Here is a 17,698-nt window from a genome sequence, read left to right on the forward strand (position 1 = left end):
CTCCTGGGTTCAAGCAATTTTTATGTCTCAGCCTCCCAAGTATCTGGGAGTACAGGCACAGGGCACCACGCCCAGCTAATTTTTGTATTTTTAACAGAGACAGGGTTTCGCCATGTTGGCCAGGCTGGTCTCGATCTCCTGACCTCAGGTGATCTGCCCACCTCAGCCTTCTAAAGTGCTGGATTTACAGGCATGAGCCACCGCGTCTGGCCCCATTTTTTAAGTGTTGACTGAAAACTACCTCAAAAGACCGGCTTTATCCCACACTCTGTACACCACAGGCTTAGCACGTCGTGGCTCTCCAGGAACTCTTGAGCCTTCCCCATGATGATGAGTGGGTCAGGGTTACCGCAGAGCTGAACGGCCTCTGTAGCGTTCAGCCTGCAGCCTGCCCAATGAGGACGTTTGCGCTCTGGAAAGGTAAACTCAGGATGCTGTTGGCTCCTAAGCAGAAAGCAGGCGCCACCCAGCCTTCAAGTGCTTCAACAGTGAAGAGTTAGGACGGAGGCCCAGCCTGGAACATTCACGCCACCTTCTGCCCCCAGTAAAATTCCTTAAAGCTATGAGGTTCTGACTCACCACGGGGAGTCCCTGGCCGCCGCTGGGAGGGCCTTGGCCATGCAAATCTCAGTGACATAGCACGTCTTATTTGCTTCAGAAGTGGCAGAGGAGAAAGTGACTTGCCTCACGCTGCCCGGTTCCACCCAGGGACCTTGTGAAGAGACGCGGGAAGGCTGGCAGAAAGGAGAACCGTCCTTCCTGTGGAATACTCCCGAGATCGCACCACTCCACTCCAGCCTGGGTGACAAGAGCAAAACTCCATCTCAAAAAAAAAAAAAAAAAGGCACTGTACATGTGTCCATGTATATAAACATGTTTATGAATATACATAAATAATTTTTTAAAAAATTTTGTCATGCAGTCTCAGCCAGTCCTGCTGTTTTTATTTTATTTTATTTTATTTTATTTATTTTTTTGAGACAAGGTCTCACTCTATCACCCAGGCTGGAGTGCGGTGATATGATCTTGGCTCACTACAACCTCCGCCTCCTGGGTTCAAGCAATCTTCCCACCTCAGCCACCCAAGTAGCTGGAATTATAGGCTGTTTCCTTTTACATGACATTATTTTCCCTTTTTTATGTTTTATTTTATTTTATTTTTGAGATAGAGTCTCACTCTGTTGCCCAGGCTGGAGTACAGTGGTGCGATCTCAGCTCACTGCAACCTCTGCCTCTTGGGTTCAAGCGATTCTCCAGCCTCAGCCTCCCGAGTACCTGGGACTACAAGTGTGCACCACCATTTCCGGCTGTGTGTGTGTGTGTGTGTGTGTGTGTGTGTGTGTATTTTTTGTAGAGACGGGGTTTTATCATGTTGGCCAGGCTGGTCTTGAACTCCTGGTCTCAAGTGATCCACCCGCCTCGGCCTCCCAAAGTGCTGAGATTAGAAGTGTGAGGTACCACGCCCGGCCCGTGACATTATTTTTAAGTACAAAAGCCATACATGTTTACTATACAAAGTTTAGAAAATTCTCAAAGATTTTTTTTAAAGGAAGCAGATCATCACTCATAATCCCACAGCAAAGATGATCATTGTTAACATTTTGGCCTATTTCCATAGTCTTTTTTTCTATACAGATTGTTCCTTACAATGGCATTATGTCCCCTAAACCCATCGTAACTTGTAAATACCTTAAGTCTAAAATGTGTTTAGCACACCTAACCTAAATGTCATAGCTTAGCCTCGCCTATTTTAAGCGTGCTCAGAACACCCACGTTAATTAGTCTACAGTTAGGCAAAATCATCTAACACAGCTGTCCCCAACCTTGTTGGCAACAGGGACCAGTTTTGTGAAAGATAATTTTTCCATGGACCAGTGCAGTGGGGGGCGCGGTTCAGGATGATTCAAGCACGTTCTATTTATTGTGCACTTTATTATTATGACATTGTAATATATAATGAAATAATTCTACAACTCACCATCATGTAGAATCAGTGGGAGCCCTGAGCTTGTTTTTCTGCAACTACACAGTCCCATCTGGGGGTGATGGGAGACAGTGACAGATCATCAGGCATTAGATTCTCATAAGGAGTGTGCAGCCTAGATCCCTCGCATGCGCAGTTCACAGTAGGGTTTGCACTCCTATGAGAATCTAATGCTGCTGCTCATCTGACGGGAGGCAGAGCTCAAGCAGTCATGAGAGCAATGGGGAGCAGCTGTAAATACAGACGAAGCTTCCCTCCTGCAGCGCATCTCCTGCTGTGCGGCCCAGTTCCTAGCAGGCCACAGATGTGGCCAAGGGACTGGGGACCCCTGATCTATATAGTGCTTTCTTTTTTCTTTTTTTTCTTTTTACGAGATAGGGTCTCACCCTGTCACCCAGCCTGCAGGGCAGTTGCACTATCATAGCTCACTGCAGCCTCCAACTCCTGGGCTTGAGCGATCCTCCCACCTCAGCCTCCCGAGTAGCTAGGACTGCAGGTGTGCACCCCACACCAGGCCAGTTTTGTATTTTTTGTAGAGACAGGGTCTTGCCGTGTTGCCCAGGCTGGTTTTGAACTCCTGGGCTCAAACAATCCTCCCACCTTGGCCTCCCAAAGTGCTGAGTGGGATTATAGGCATGAGCTGCTTCGCCCAAACTCGTCTGTTTTTTACCAGTGGCATAGACTGATAACATGATTTTGATTTCTAGGGTTTGTTTTTTGTTTTTGTTTTTTTTTTTACCTGACATGTTGTAAATATTTCTTGCTTATCATTAAATATTCTTCAGAAACACAGTGCATACTGCATAACATTCCATCACGTAGGTGAGCCCTAAGACTTACCACTTATTTCCCTGCTGTTCAGGAGCCTGATTTATTACACTGCTTTCATTGCCCTTTGGGGTTTAATCTGGGGAGCTTTGTCCCTGTTCTTTCTATGCCTTCATGTTCTGCCAGTGGCTGTGGCATCTTTTTCGTGTTTTTTGTTTGTTTGTTTGTTTGTTTTGTTTTGTTTGAGACGGAGTCCTGCTCTGTCACCCAGGCTGGAGTGCCGTGGCATGATCTCGGCTCACTGCAACCTCCACCTCCCAGATTTAAGCGATTCTTCTGCCTCGGCCTCCTGAGTAGCTGGGACTACAGGTGTGTGCCACCACGCCCAGTGAATTTTTGTATTTTTAGTAGAGACAGGGTTTCGCCAGTTGGCCAAGCTGGTCTGACCTCAGGTGATCGGCCCACTTCAGCCTCCAGAAGGGCTGGGATTACAGGCGTGAGCCACCACGCCCAGCCGGCTGTGGCATCTTGAGGTAGCCTCCCAAGGCCATCATCAGACAAGAGCGTTTGGAAGCCCAGAATTCTCCAAGGGCTCATGGCAGTACTGGCACGGGGCCTCTGTTCCTAGACTGCTGCTCCATGACGTTTGTAGATGCCTCTAGTGAAAAGTCAGGGACAGTGGATGATATGCACGGCTCAGAGACCCTGACTCTGGTCCCATCTGTCCCCAGGTGTGACCCCACAAAGCCCCTCCCTCGGCCGCAGCACCGGATTGGGCCGGGTGCCAGGCAGGACGGAGGAGCTGGCCCTTTTGTCAGCCTCTTGCACTTTCTTGCCCAGTTCTACTTCCCAGAGACCTGGATCTCGGATGCTGTCCCCCAGCAGGGCCTGTTTGTGGAGTGGCCTTCAGGCAGGGCTGCATCCAGGGCACCGGGCACAGCATGAGTCACGGTGGGAAGAACCTGGGTCGCAACATCGTAAAGACCTGGGTTTAATTCCCAACTCCATGAATTATGTAACCTCAAGCAGGGCAGGAGGTTTCCTTACTCAGACCTTAGTATTTTCATAAGTGAAATAAAAGAATGCCACGCCTCACCTGTAATCCCAGCACTTTGGGAGATCAAGGCAGGTGGATCACTTGAGGCCAAGAGTTTGAGACCAGACTGGCCAACATGAGGAAACCCTGTCTCTATTAAAAATACAAAAATTTGCTGGGCGTGGTGGCATGTGTCTGTAATTCTAGCTACTCGGGAGGCTGAAGTAGAAGAATCACTTGAACTGGGGAGGTGGAGGTTGCAGTGAGCTGAGATCCCGCCACTGCACTCCAGCCTGGGCAACAGAGACTCTGTTTCAAAAAAAAAAGAGAAAAGAATGCCACATTAGTGCCTGGTACAGGACCTCTATAAAGGGTGGCTGACATTGCTGCTCCTGCTGCCTGCAAGGCACCTGGCATCACCTGGCACATTTTAAAAAGGTCTGCTTACCTCCCCCTGCTCAAGGTCTCTTCCCACTCTTAAGAATTATGTCGCTTTCCATGATGAGTTTGTAAAAATCATTATCCGCACTGCAAGACCTACTCATCCATATTAGCGTGCCACAGCTGGGGCACCCAGGTGTAAAGCTTTGTTTCCCATCATCTTCCTCAGGGACCCTAAATTTTAAAATCTGCATCAGTCACCATTGAGGTGCCACTAAATGTGGTGGCCAAAAGTTCCAAGTTCAAACCATTGCACAGCTGCAAATGCCTTCATAGATGGGTCTCTAAAAAATCAAACACCAGGGCTGGGCACAGTGGCTCACCTCTGTAATCCCAGCACTTTGGGAGGCCAAGATGGGCAGATCACTTGAGGTCAGGAGTTCGAGACCAGCCTGGCCAACATGGTAAAACCCTGTCTCTACTAAAAATACAAAAATTAGCTGGGCGTGGTAGTGGGTGCCTGTAATCCCAGCTACTCGGGAGGCTGAAGCAGGAGAATGGCTTGAACCTGGGAGGCAGAGGCTGCAGTGAGCCGAGATTGTGCCATTGCACTCCAGCCTGGGAAACAGAGTGAGGCTCCATCTCAAAGAAAAAATCAACACCAGAGGTTAATAATCTAGTAACTAACTGTCTTCTATGTGCCACATTTTTGCAAGATCCAAGTTTTAAAGTGAGAACAAGTTGTTCGGTCCCCGCCCAGCTGACTGTGACACCAAGGTGGCGGCCCGCATTGGAGATCTGGTTCCATCTGACTTGGAAAATTTGGGGCACCGTGGGCTGGTGTGAAACAAATTAAAAGAGGTGCCAAACAGCCAGGCACCCAGCAAGGATGCCCAGGGCTCTTGTTCGGGGATTTCGTTAAAAAACTTTTTGGAACCCACCTCAAAGAATGAAAAGTTTCCTATAGGAAGGCAGGAGCGAGCGAGATAATTGAACTCATTGATTTCCTTCACGGCTTGTTTGCCCTTTCATTCTCTTCCCGAGGTGCTATTTGTTGAGGAATGTCTCCAATTGCCAGAAAGACAGTGGGGTGTCTCATATTTCCTCGCCACCTCTCCTTTCAGCCAGTGCTGAGTTCTAAGGCAAGCCTGCAATATGAATTTTTAATGCCGAGCTTTATGGCATCACTCCCGCACAGCCCGACTGCATCACTCTCCTGAGCCTTCAGATTTAATGCTCCAATGAACAGAGCAAAGACTGGGGCATTCAACATCAGTGAGAATTAACCCCCACATGACCACAGCAGTGCCCTCTGATTTTCCTAAAGAGGGTTGGGAAAAAATAAAAATTATGTAGTGTTGGCCGGGTAAGGTGGCTCACACCTGTAACTCCATCACTTTGGGAGGCTGAGATGGGTGGATCACCTGAGGTCAGGAGTTCGAGACCAGTCTGGCCAACATAGCAAAACCCCATCTCTACTAAAAACACAAAAATTAGCTGGGCGTGGTGACGGGAGCTTGTAATCCCAGCTACTTGGGAGGCTGAGGCAGGAGAATCGCTTGAACCCAGGAGGCAGAGGTTGCAGTGAGCTGAAATCACGCCACTGCACTCCAGCCTGGGCAACAGAGCAAGACTCCATCTTATAAAAAAAATTATGTAGTGTTGAGAATCCTTGCTATCCAAATAGCCTGAAGCACAAAAGCACAGCTTATTCTTGAAATTTTATGGAATAGCCTATATTTTGACCTTTTTGCTTCTTCTAAGTTGGACGATGTGTGCTTCGAAGCATTTCTGTGATCTTCCCACCCTTAAAAAAAAAATCTCTGCAGGCTGGGAGTGGTGGCTCACGCCTGTAATCCCAGCACTTTGGGAGACTGTGGTGGGCAGATTGCCTGAGGTCAGGAGTTCAAGACCGGCCTGGCCAACATGATGAAACCCTGTCTCTACTGAAAATACGAAAATTAGCCGGGCGTGGTGGTACACGCCTGTAGTCCCAGCTACTCAGAAAGCTGAGTCAGCGAGATCATGCCACTGCATTTCAGCCTGGTCAACAGAGTGAGACTCCATCTCAAAAAAAAAAAAAAAAAACTCTCCAGTTTGTAGGATTTAATGAATATATAGATGACCGGCTGTTCTGCGGTTTCCGTGGAAAGCCCAAATGTAATTAGAAATCCAATTTCCGATCGATTTTTCCAATGGAAAAAGGACCAGTTGTGTTAAGTGGCTAATTCTTTTTTTATGCAGATGGTTGATTGTCATTTTCTTATAGTAGCTTTCTGAATTTTTGCAGACGTCAAAACTAAGAAAAAGTTGTATATAAAAATTGCTCAATTGGCCAGGTGCAGTGGCTCACGCCTCTAATCCTAACATTTTGGGAGGCCGAGGCAGGAGGGTCGTTTGAGGCCAGGAATTCAAGACCAGCCTGGGCAAAACAGCAAGACATAATTTCTGTTTAAAAAAAAAAAAAAAAGTTTGAACATAAAAACTGCTCAAATTTAAGTACATTAAAGAAGGACAGAGTCTTTAGTAAATGGTAGAATAACAAGCCAACTATGTAGAAGCCAGTAGAATCAGAGCTGAGCCCCATGCAAAATAAAATCTATTTAGTTATTTTTATTTATTTTTTATTTTATTTATTTATTTTTTTTTTTTGAGACAGGGTCTTGCTGTCTCACCCAGGCTGAAGTGCAGTGGCGTGATCTTGGCTCACTGCAACCTCTGCCTCCCAGGTTCAAGCAGTTCTCCTGCCTCAGCCTCCTGAGTAGCTGGGATTACAGGCGCGCACCACCATGCCTAGCCAATTTTTGTATTTTAGTAAAGATGGGGTTTCACCATGTTGGCTAGGCTGGTCTTGAACTCCTGACCTCAAGTGATCCACCCACCTCTGCCTGCCAAAGTGCTGGGATTACAGGCGTGAGCCACCACGCTCAGTTTAGATGTTTAAAACATTTAAATGTGACCAGAAAGAAATCCATAAAAACACTAGGAGCAATTTTAGGTGTATATTTATATAATAAGGGGGTGGAAAAACTTTTTTTTAAGCATGATGCCAAAAGTAGAAATCACAAAGGGAAGAAATTCAGAGCTTTGTGGAGATGGATGGGCGGGTGGATAGATGGATGGGCGGGTGGATAGATGGATGGGCGGGTGGATAGATGGATGGGCGGGTGGATAGATGGATGGATGGACAGACGGATGGGCAGATGGATTTAGACAGACTGGCAAAAATATTTGCAATATATATGAGAGAGAGAGTGTGTGTGTGTGTGTGCGCGCGCGCGCGCGCACGCCACGCACACACGCATCTTTACAGAACAATAAGAAAAAGTTTCATTTCCCAATAGTAAAACCTCTATATTTTCAGTTTCTTACTAGACATTTCTACTATGAGCATCTCAAACTCAGATTAAGTTGTTATTCTCCGTAACTTCCCCCTTCCCTATAGTCAGCCCCCTTCTGCTTTCTTCCTCTGCCCGACCATACCTGCTCCTCCTTCATTCCAGAAACTGAGGGTATTTCGTCACTCCTTTGTGAGCCCTCCTGTCTAATTCATGTTAGTTCCGCCTTCTTGCAACATTGTACATTCCCAACTTCATCACCACTCTCACTACCGTCATTTTAATTTGTTTTTCTTTGCTTTTCTTTTTTTTTTTTTTTTTTTGAGACAGGGTCTCGCTCTGTCACTTGCAGTGGCGCAATCTCTGCTCACTGCAACCTCCACCTCCCAGGTTCAAGCGATTCTCCTGCCTCAGCTTCCTGAGTAGCTGGGATTACAGGCACCCGCCACTACACCTGGCTAATTTTTGTATTTTTAGTAGTGACAGGGTTCACCATGTTGGCCAGGCTGGTCGCAAACTCCTGACCTCAAGTGATTCACCTGCCTCAGCCTCCCAAAGTGCTGGGATTACAGGCGTGAGCCACCGCACCCGGCCTTAATTTGTTTTTCGTCTCTTGGTCTCACTTCAAGATCTTCTGAACTTGACCCTCTGCCACCAGTATCTCCCTGGACAAAACCACCCTCCAAGCATCTGCTAAAGTTATCTTTCTAAAATCTGTCTGATCCTGCTAAAACCTGTCCCACTTAAAATCTCTCCGTGGCACCCTCTCTCATATCTAAGGGAAAGTCCAAAATCACAGCATGATGCACAAGGCACTTTGGGATGCAGCCCTGCCTTCCCAGCCTCATCTTAGGCCAACTCAAACTCCACCGTCCTATAGAATCCCAGGCCTTTCTTTCCCCAGCTCACCTTGCAGCCGGTTCTACCTTTCCTGACAAGCTGATCCTGCCCTGCCTTGCCTGCTCCTATGCCCACACTTACCTGCTGTGGTGAAAGAGGGCTCTGGTCTCCCTCATTCTAGGGGCTCTTCATGTGGGGTCTATAGAGAGAACCTGGGGGCTTCATGAATTGGACCCAGAAAAAAATACATCTTTTTTTTTTTTTTTTTTTTTTTTTTGAGATGGAGTCTTGCCCTGTCACCCAGGCTGGAGTGCAGTGATGCAATTGTGGCTCTCTGCAACCTCCGCCTCCCGGGTTCAAGCGATTCTCCTGCCTTAGCCTACCAAGTAGTTGGGACCACAGGCATGTGCCACCACACCCAGATAATTTTTGTAGTTTTTAGTAGAGACAGGGTTTCACCATGTTGGCCAGGCTGGTCTTGAACTCCTGACCTCGTGATCCACCCGCCTCCGCCTCCCAAAGTGCTGGGACTACAGGCGTGAGCCACCACACTCGGCCTAGAAAATACATCTTTATTTCCATCAGTGTCTAACTGCAATGTAGCATTTCCTTCCATTGTAAATGAAGCCCCCACACCGGGGTAATTGCAGACTGTGACCTCGTTGCGAGTGGAAATCACAGAGGCTTTCACATCTCATTCCCGTTGTTACGGAGGTCACAAACGCTGTTTGGATTCATCACTACTTCAAAATGTCAGTGGTTCTTAGATTTGTTATTTAGTGCAACAGTAAAGAACAGTTGTTCCTGTATCACAAATCTGGTTTTAAAAAAAGATTGTCCTGGCGCGCTGGCTCACACCTGTAATCACAGCACCTTGAGAGGCCAAGGTGGGCAGATCACTTTGAGGTCAGGTGTTCGAGGCCAGTCTGGCCAACATGGTGAAACCTCATATCTCCTAAAAGTTTAAAAAATTAGCTGGGAGTGGTGGTGGGCACCTGTAATCCCAGCTACTCTGGTGGCTGAGGCAGGAGAATCGCTTGAACCCGGGAGGTGGAGGTTGCAGTTAGCTGAGATTGCACCACTGCACTTCAGCCTGGGCAACAGAGCTAGACTCAGTCTCAAAAATAAAAATTAAAAAAAATTGCAATAACTGCACTTCAAAATAATTGTTTTCCTTGGTCCTTAAAACATGATTAGACTTCTGTCCAATAATGGCCTTGTGGACTTACGTCTTTAAAACATTCCAAATAGATGCCTGTATTCTTGACAAGACTTCCAGAGGGGACCGTGGCAAAGGAAGGGTTAAGCATCTGCGTCAGACTGACAGTGTCTTGACCGGATCCTCCTCCGTCTTTCCCCCACCGCTTTGCACAGTGCCACATGACTTTTTATTTGTTTTGAGACAGGATCCAGCTCTGTTGCCCAGACTGGAATGCAGTGGCGCAATCACGACTCACTGCAGCCCTGACCTCCTGGGCTCAAGTGATCCTCCCACCTCAGCCTCCTGAGTAGCTGGGACTATAGGCAAGTGCCACCACACCCAGCTAATTCTTTTTATTTTTAGAGATGGGGTCTCACTGTGTTACCCAGGCTGGTCTCAAACTCCTGGGCTCAAGCGATCCTCCCACCTCTCCCTCCCGAAGTTCTGGGATTACAGACAGGAGTCACAGCGCCAGGTCCCTATTTATTTTACTCTTTGTGTGTTTCCTTATATCCTGTAAAAATGGGTACAGTGGAAACTGGGCAGTAATTCTACACGTATTCTGGATTTTAGCTACTCACATTTATGGTTACTTTTACCTATCAATTAATTGCTTTTCTTTTCACTCGAGTTTTAGTGATTTTCACTGTCCAAAAGAATCGTGTATAGTTGACCCTTGAACAACACAGGGGTTAGAGGCACTGACCCCCGACACAGTGAAAAATCCAAGTACAACTTTTGACTCCTCAAAAGCTTTACTGACAGCCTGCTAGTGACCGGAAGCCTTACCAGTTACATGAAGTGCCGATTAAGATGTTTTGTAAGTTACATATGTTATATACAATATTCTTCCAATAAAGTAAGGCAGAGAAAAGAAAATGTTAAGAAATCCTAAGGAAGAGAAAACACACTTTCCGTTCATTAAGTGGAAGTGGATCATCAAAAAGGTCTTCATCCCTGTTGTCTTCACATCAAGTAGGCCAAGGAAGAGGAGGGTTGGTCTCGCTGTCTCGGGTGACAGCGGAGGAGGACGTGGAGGAGGTGGGAGGGGGGCCAGACACACTCAGTGTAATTTTACTGAAAAATATTCAAGTTGAAGTGGAACCATATTGTTCAGACCCATATTTGAGGGTCAACTTGTGTGTGTGTGTGTTTGTGTGTGTGTGTGTGTATGTACACACACACAAAAAATAATATATATAAAAACATGAGTCCCAGCAATCTTATCCTTAATCATTTCTAATGTGGTTTCAGTGAGAGAAAATAGTCTTTTCAGGCCAGGCACGGTGGCTCATGCCTGTAATTCCAGCACTTTGGGAGGCCAAGGCAGGCGGATCACTTGAGGTCACGAGTTCAAGACCAGCCTGGCCAAGATGGTGTAAACCCATCTCTACTCTAAATACAAAAATTGTCCTGGTGTGGTGGCGCGTGCCTATAGTCCTAGCTACTTGGGAGGCTGAGGCAGGAGAATCCTTGAACCCGGGAGGTGGAGGTCACAGTGAGCTGAGATCACGCCACCACACACCAGCCTGGGAGACAGAGCAAGGCTCTGTCTCAAAAAAAAAAGAAAATGGTTTTTTCTCCTCAATCCATTTTCTTATTTTTCAATGACCTATTATATCTTTAATGTGTCTGAAGTTTATTATATCATATAAAATAATATTTGTTTCTGTTTGTTATTCTTTAATACTCAGTTTGCCCAATAATATTGATGATTTCTTCCCCCAACATATAATATCTGACAAATCAGGTATAAATACATATAGCTCTGGATTTCTGTCTATAATTTCATTCTATCAGTCTAGTTTTTCACTCTAATAAGTGCCACACTCTTGATGACGTCTCCTTGTTTTCTATTTCAGTATTTGTATAGCCAGTTTACTATTGTTGTTTTTAGTTTAAAAGAAAAAAAAACAACAACCTTTAGTATTTTGGTCACCTATTTTTTCTGTATGCATCTCGTCATTTTACCAACTTTTTTTTTTTTTATTTGAGATGGAGTCTTGCTCTCTCACCCATGCTGGAGTGCAGTGGCACGATCTCAGCTCACTGCAACCTCCACCTCCCAGGTTCAAGCAATTCTCCTGCCTCAGCCTCCCCAATAGCTGGGATTACAGGCACCGCCACCACACCCAGCTAATTTTTGTATTTTTAATGGAGACGGGGTTTCACCATGTTGGTCAGGCTGGTCTGAAACTCCTGACGTCATGATCCGCCCACCTTGGCCTCCCAAAGTGCTGGGATTTTAGACGTGAGCCACCGTGCCCGGCCATTTTACCAACTTTTATAAATTAACTTGGGAGAGAAATGTATGTTTCTTTGTATTTAATGCAGCTGCACATAAATGTATCATTCTCTTCCTTTGCTCCAAGCATTTTGTAATCCAATTTTTCTACAGATGGAGTTTATGCTATGTTATTTTAATTCCCACGTGCTTCTGTGTTTACCTCTGTTGTAAATGAGACAGATCTTTTATTTCATTTTGTGGATGTTTATTACTGGTGTAGGGGAGTTTGTTATTTTCTTGTGTTTACCAAGAAACATAGGGCTTTGCTGAACGCTTGATTGTCCCAGCCCATTTGCTCAAGTGAATCCCTGGGATTTGGGGAGCACGGGACTGCATTACCTACAAGTAGTGAACGTGCACCCTGTGTGACACTCAGAACTTCTGATCCTCTTCTTTCATTCCTGTGTTCAGAAGGAGCATTCTGTTATAGGTCTGGGAAGAATCGTGGAGGCTCTTGGTTTAAGCCTGTGTCCCTTTCCATGTTAATCAAATGCTCCAATGATTTCCCCTCTGTAAATTGAACTGTGACCTGGTTTTTAGATGCCATGGGATCAAAGCCCCGCAACTGTGTTAGATCCTTCTAGTGGGGTAGTTTTCTATTAGGTCGGTGCAAAAGTAATTGCGGTTTTTGCCATTAAAAGTAATGGCAGGTTGGGCGCGGTGGCTCACACCTGTAATCCCAGCGCTTTGGGAGGTTGAGGCAGGCGGATCACCTGAGGTCACAAGTTCAAGACCACACTGGCCAACATGGCTAAACCCTGCCTCTACTGAAAATACAAAAATTAGCCGGGCGTGGTGGTGGATGCCTATAATCCCAGCTACTCGGGAGGCTGAGGCATGAGAATTGCTTGAACCCTGGAGGTGAAGGTTACAGTGAGCTGAGATGGCACCGCTGCACTCCAGCCTGGGCGAGAAGAGTGAATCTCCGTCAAAAAAGAAAAAGGTAATGGCAAAACCACAGTTACTTTTGCACCGACCTAATAGTAGGATTACACTTTTAAATAGTACATTTCATTCCATTTTTATTTTACATATTTTATAGATTTTCTTGCTTATTTAAGACAAGTTGAAGCTTATGTTTCTATTTACTGTGCCATTTAGCATTTCTTATTTCTCCCTAACATTATTATGCTACATATAATATTGATTAGTCTGGCTTCAAACCTTACCTTAATTAGCCTTAAAAAAAAAATCTAGTTGGCCAAGCACACTGGCTCACACCTGTAGCCTCAACACTTTGGGAGGCCAAGGCAGAAGGATCACTTGAACCCAGGAACTGGAGACCAGCCTGGGCAACGTAGTGAGATCGTCTCACTAAAAAAAGTTAAAAATTAGCTGGGCATGGTGGTGCTCACTGTAGTCTTAGCTACTTTGGAGACTGAGGAGGGAGGATTGCTTGAGCCCAGGAGGTCAAGGCTGCAGTGAGCCAAAATCGTGCCACTGCACCCCAGCCTGGGCAACAAAGTGAGATCCCGTCTCCAAAAACAAAAAGTCTAGTTAATCATTGCCTTTTTACTCAAAATGTGTTTCTACCACCCTTTTTGGATTTTTAAAAAATATGTATTTTATTTTTATGGGTAAATTTGGCCTAATTACATTTTACTGATATAACTCTTAACTTAAATTTCTCTTTATTGTTGAATTGTTGATCCTTTTCTTTTTTCTAATTCACAGTATCTCTGTCCTAGGCTTTCTGATCTATTTAAGGAAGATTGAGTGAACAGCCTAATTGACCCTCTGAATGTCCCCTGAGCCTTCTAATCCGCCCTGCCTTGAGCCTCCTCTTGTAACTGAAATTCACTTTCTGATGCAGAACCATTGAGCCCTTCTGAAACCTTTTCAAAACTATATATTTAAATTTTCTTATCAAACTGTACTGTTATTAGATTACATGTCTAGCATAGCAGCAAATTATACTTCATTATATTAACCTTGCCACTTCCCTCTACAATGAGACCCGATCTTTTATAAGATACTCTGGACCTACAAATTCCTGCTGGTGAATTCTTTAAAGTTATATGGATTTTCAACGATCGTCTACTCCCTTTACAAAGCAGCTGCTGTTTAGCAGGATTATCCATTAGTGGTAAGAATCCTTTATTCCCTAGCATATGGTAAATATTTTTTACCAACTTGAGGTATGCCACGTAGATCCCACGGGATTTACACACATAGACAAAGGCATTCTTCTCATCACATTGTTTTAAACAATCCAGCTGCCATTTTAGCTTTCACTAAACTTAGAAATGTATCAGCTTGGCCGGGCATTGTGGGTCACACCTCTAATCTCAGCACTTTGGGAGATCAAGGCAGGCGGATCATTTGAGGTCAGGAGTTTGAGACCAGCCTGGCCAACATGGAGAAACCCCATCTGTACTAAAAATACAAAAATTAGCTGGGTGTGGTGGTATGCACCTGTAATTCCAGCTACTCAGGAGGCTGAGACCCGGGAATCACTTGAACCCGGGAGGCAGAGTTTGCAGTGAGCCGAGATCGTGCTGCTGCACTCCAGCCTGGGCAACAGAGAGAGACTACATCTTAAAAAAAAAAAAAAAAAAAAAAAGGAATGGTATCAACTCGACACCCAGGGTCCTTCTGTAAGTTAAAACCTGGGAAGTGCCCTACCCTGGCATTTGAAAAGTGGCTGAATCCAATTTCCTGTCCAGAATTACAATGACATTGTATTGATACATTGATGATCAAAAGCATAGCTAAGCTGTAAGGCTGGTTATTGGATATACATCTTCCAAGTGGAGAGATTATTACCACCTGAAACAGCTTTTGGCTTGTCCATTAAGACTCCTTTCCAGCCAGGCATGGTGGCCCACCCCTGTAATCCCAGCACTTTGAGAGGCCAAGCCGGGGGTACTGCCTGAGCACAGAAATTCGAGACAGGCTGGGCAACATAGCAAGAACTCATCTCTACTAAAAATTAAAACCACTTTCCAAAATGAATTTTTTTTTTAAGACAGGATCTTGATCTGTCACCCAGGCTATAGTGCAATGGCACAGTCATAGCTCACTGCAGCCTCAAACTCCTGGGATCAAGCCATCCTCCTGCCTCACCCCCTTAAGTGGCTGGTTCTACAGGGGCACACCAGCACACCCAGCTATTTTTTTTTTTTTAATTTATTGTAGAGACGGGGTCTTGTTACATTGCCCAGGCTGGTCTCAAGCTCTTGGCCTCAAGCGATCCTCCAGCAGTCCTCCCACCTGAGCCTCCCAAAGTCCTGGAATGACAGGTCTAAGCCACTCTGCTCAGCCCAAAACAAATTCTATAACCAAACCAGAAAAGTTGTTTTTTGTTTAGCTTTTTACCTTAAAACTTTCATTACCCCTACTTCCAACAAAGTATTTGAGGTGGATTTAACACAAGACACAGCATCAATAAAGCTCTTAAGTGAAGTCTGAGATTTAAAGGAGCATAGCTCAGTGGGGAAGATGACTTCTAAGGCTTGGCTTTGAATAAAGCCCAACTCTTCAATAGCTTGGTGTGACTAAGACATGCTCTACCTATGTGGGTTTGTTTTTTTGTTTGTTTGTTTGTTTGTTTGTTTTTGGAGACAGAGTCTTGCTCTGTCACCCAGGGTGGAGTGCAATGGCACGATCTCGGCTCACTGCAACCTCCACCTCCGGGTTCAAGCAATTCTCCTGCCTCAGCCTCCCAAGTAGCTGGAACTACAGGTGCACACCACCATGCCCAGCCAGTTTTTTGTATTTTAGTAGAGACGGGGTTTCACCATGTTTGCCAGGCTATTCTCAAACTCCTGAACTCAGGCAATCCACCTGCCTTAGCCTCCCAAAGTGCTAGGATTACAGGCATGAGCCACTGCACCCAGCCTCTATGTGTTTTTTTTATTGTTAAGAGTTCGAGGCTGGGTGCAGTGACACACACCTGTAATCCCAGCACTTTGGGAGGCCGAGGCGGGAGAATCACTTGAGGTCAGGAGTTCAAGACCAGCCTGGCCAACATGGTGAAACCCCGTCTCTACTAAAAATACAAAAAAAAATTTAGCTGAGCGTGGTGGTGCACGCCTGTAATCCCAGCTATTGGGGAGGCTGAGGCAGGAGAATCTCTTGAACCCAGGAGGCAGAGGTTGCGGTGAGCCAAGATCATGCCACTGTACTCCAGCCTGGGGGATGGAGCGAGACTTCGTCTCAAAAAAAAAAAAAAACAGCATTACTATGCCACCCTGATACACTGCTTGGCTAGGAGGGAAAACTTCTTGTTGCAATTAACCTTTCTATTTTTTTCGCTACGTCTAAGTATTGTGAACTTCCTTTGTGGTATTTTAGTGATTAGACAGGATGGAGGGCGTTCTTAAAGATTCATGGCCAAATCCAATGATGTCAGAGTGAAGGGAACGGACGGTCTTCGTGGGGCCAGCAAGTCTGGCCCCATCTGAATTGTTTGTCTAACACTTCACAAGCAGAATAGGAACCGCTGAATTATTCATTTTCAAGTTGCCCTAAAAAAGGTACTTAGCCTGCCGAAAGGCAGACTTTCGGTGCCAGCGAGAGGAAGAGGAAGGATGCTGTCTTTCCTATGAACGTTCTCGTGCCTCCACTGCCTGGGTCTTCAGTTTCACTTCCCAGCCCTGCGGGGTACAGGAAACCACCAGCTAACTTAAGTGCAAGGCAATTAAGCGGGGAGGGAATTGTGGACAAATCTATAGAACTCTGAAGCCACAGGTGAGCCAAGCATTGACTTTACTGGGGAAAAACCAGGTGGAAGAAGGTTGAAGGAGCTTGGGTTGGTCAGAAGATGCCAGGATTTGGGACCTGAGCCAGGGAGGTGGGCCCAGGAAGTGGGATTGGGCTTGGGGATGGGGAAGGAGAGGAAGCTGAGAGCGATAACTAGTATGCAATCAGAAATTTTTTTTATTCTTAGTTTTAGCTTCTCTGCCTCTGCCACCAAAGCTTTGTTTTGGTTTTTGAGACAGGCTCTCACTCTGTTGCCCAGGCTGTAGTGCAGTGGCACAATCTTGGCTCACTTCAACCTGTGCCTCCCGGGTTCAAGCAATTCTCCCACCTTAGCCTCCCGAGTAGCTGGGATTACAGGTGCACACCACCACTCTCAGCTAATTTTTTTTTTTTTTTTTTTTTTTGTATTTTTAGTAGAGACGGGGTTTCTCCATGTTGGTCAGGCTGGTCTTGAACTCCTGACCTCAAGTGATCCACCCGCCTCAGCCTCTCAGAGTGCTGGGATTACAGGCGTGAGCCACCATGCCTGGTCCCAACCTTTCCTTAACACTTCCTACCACACAGTACTTAGGGGAGAAAGTCATTAGAAACCCTTGTACTTGGGAGTAAAGGCCAGGCTTTTAGTAGAGACAGGTTGCCTACCATGCCCTTGAGCCCATGCACCACTGCGCCGCCCTGCACCTCAGTTTCCCCACTTGTGAAATCCTAGCAGTCTTCCTCTGTAGGTCTGCACTGCTCCCCTGTGGTGTGTCTTTTGTGCAGCGCAGGAGGCAGATGAGAGAGAGAAGCCCGCGTCTTGTCCAAAATATGATTTGGCGCATTCTTGGGCAGCGTCTGTTGGAGGTACAGGCGGGATGCTCACAGGTGAAGTAAACCAGGAATGGCAAACAGAACCTGAAAGGTGGTTCTGAAAGAGAGAATGCAGAAACTGGGCAAGCAGTACTCCCACCTGTAGGAAGGTTTGCTGGCGAAGTTTCACACTAAAACATGAAGGAGACTGTTAAAAACAATGGGTATAGATGACAGAACAGCATCCCTTCCTAAACAGCCTTTAAAAGTCTGAAACTAGGGCCAGGTGTGGTAGTTCACACCTGTAAGCCCAGCTAGTTGGGAGGCTGAGGCAGGAGGATCACTTGAGCCCAGGAATTTGAGGCTGCAG

At 46.0% G+C, this 17,698-nt stretch overlaps 1 protein-coding gene across 25 annotated transcripts in view, besides 2 other annotated features; it reads left to right on the plus strand.

Annotated features, from left to right (window-relative positions):
• CUX1 (cut like homeobox 1) overlaps positions 1 to 17,698 on the plus strand; it is a 467,952-nt gene that overhangs the window by 308,863 nt on the left and 141,391 nt on the right. The gene's annotated exons all lie outside the window — the stretch shown is intronic.
• Positions 352 to 904: an enhancer, noted in NCBI's record as "H3K27ac-H3K4me1 hESC enhancer chr7:101768501-101769053 (GRCh37/hg19 assembly coordinates)". NCBI's record gives its function as "activates a minimal SCP1, AML or CMV promoter by ChIP-STARR-seq in naive H9 embryonic stem cells {active_cell/tissue: H9 hESC(naive)}" and the evidence as "EXISTENCE:reporter gene assay evidence [ECO:0000049][PMID:30033119]".
• Positions 9,540 to 9,834: an enhancer, noted in NCBI's record as "tiled region #3063; HepG2 Activating DNase matched - State 8:EnhW, and K562 Activating non-DNase unmatched - State 14:Gen5'". NCBI's record gives its function as "activates a minimal TATA promoter and a strong SV40 promoter by Sharpr-MPRA in HepG2 and K562 cells {active_cell/tissue: HepG2 | K562}" and the evidence as "EXISTENCE:reporter gene assay evidence [ECO:0000049][PMID:27701403]".

This window comes from Homo sapiens, chromosome 7 (genome assembly GCF_000001405.40).
Source record: "Homo sapiens chromosome 7, GRCh38.p14 Primary Assembly".
Classification (NCBI taxonomy): Eukaryota; Metazoa; Chordata; class Mammalia; order Primates; family Hominidae; genus Homo; species Homo sapiens.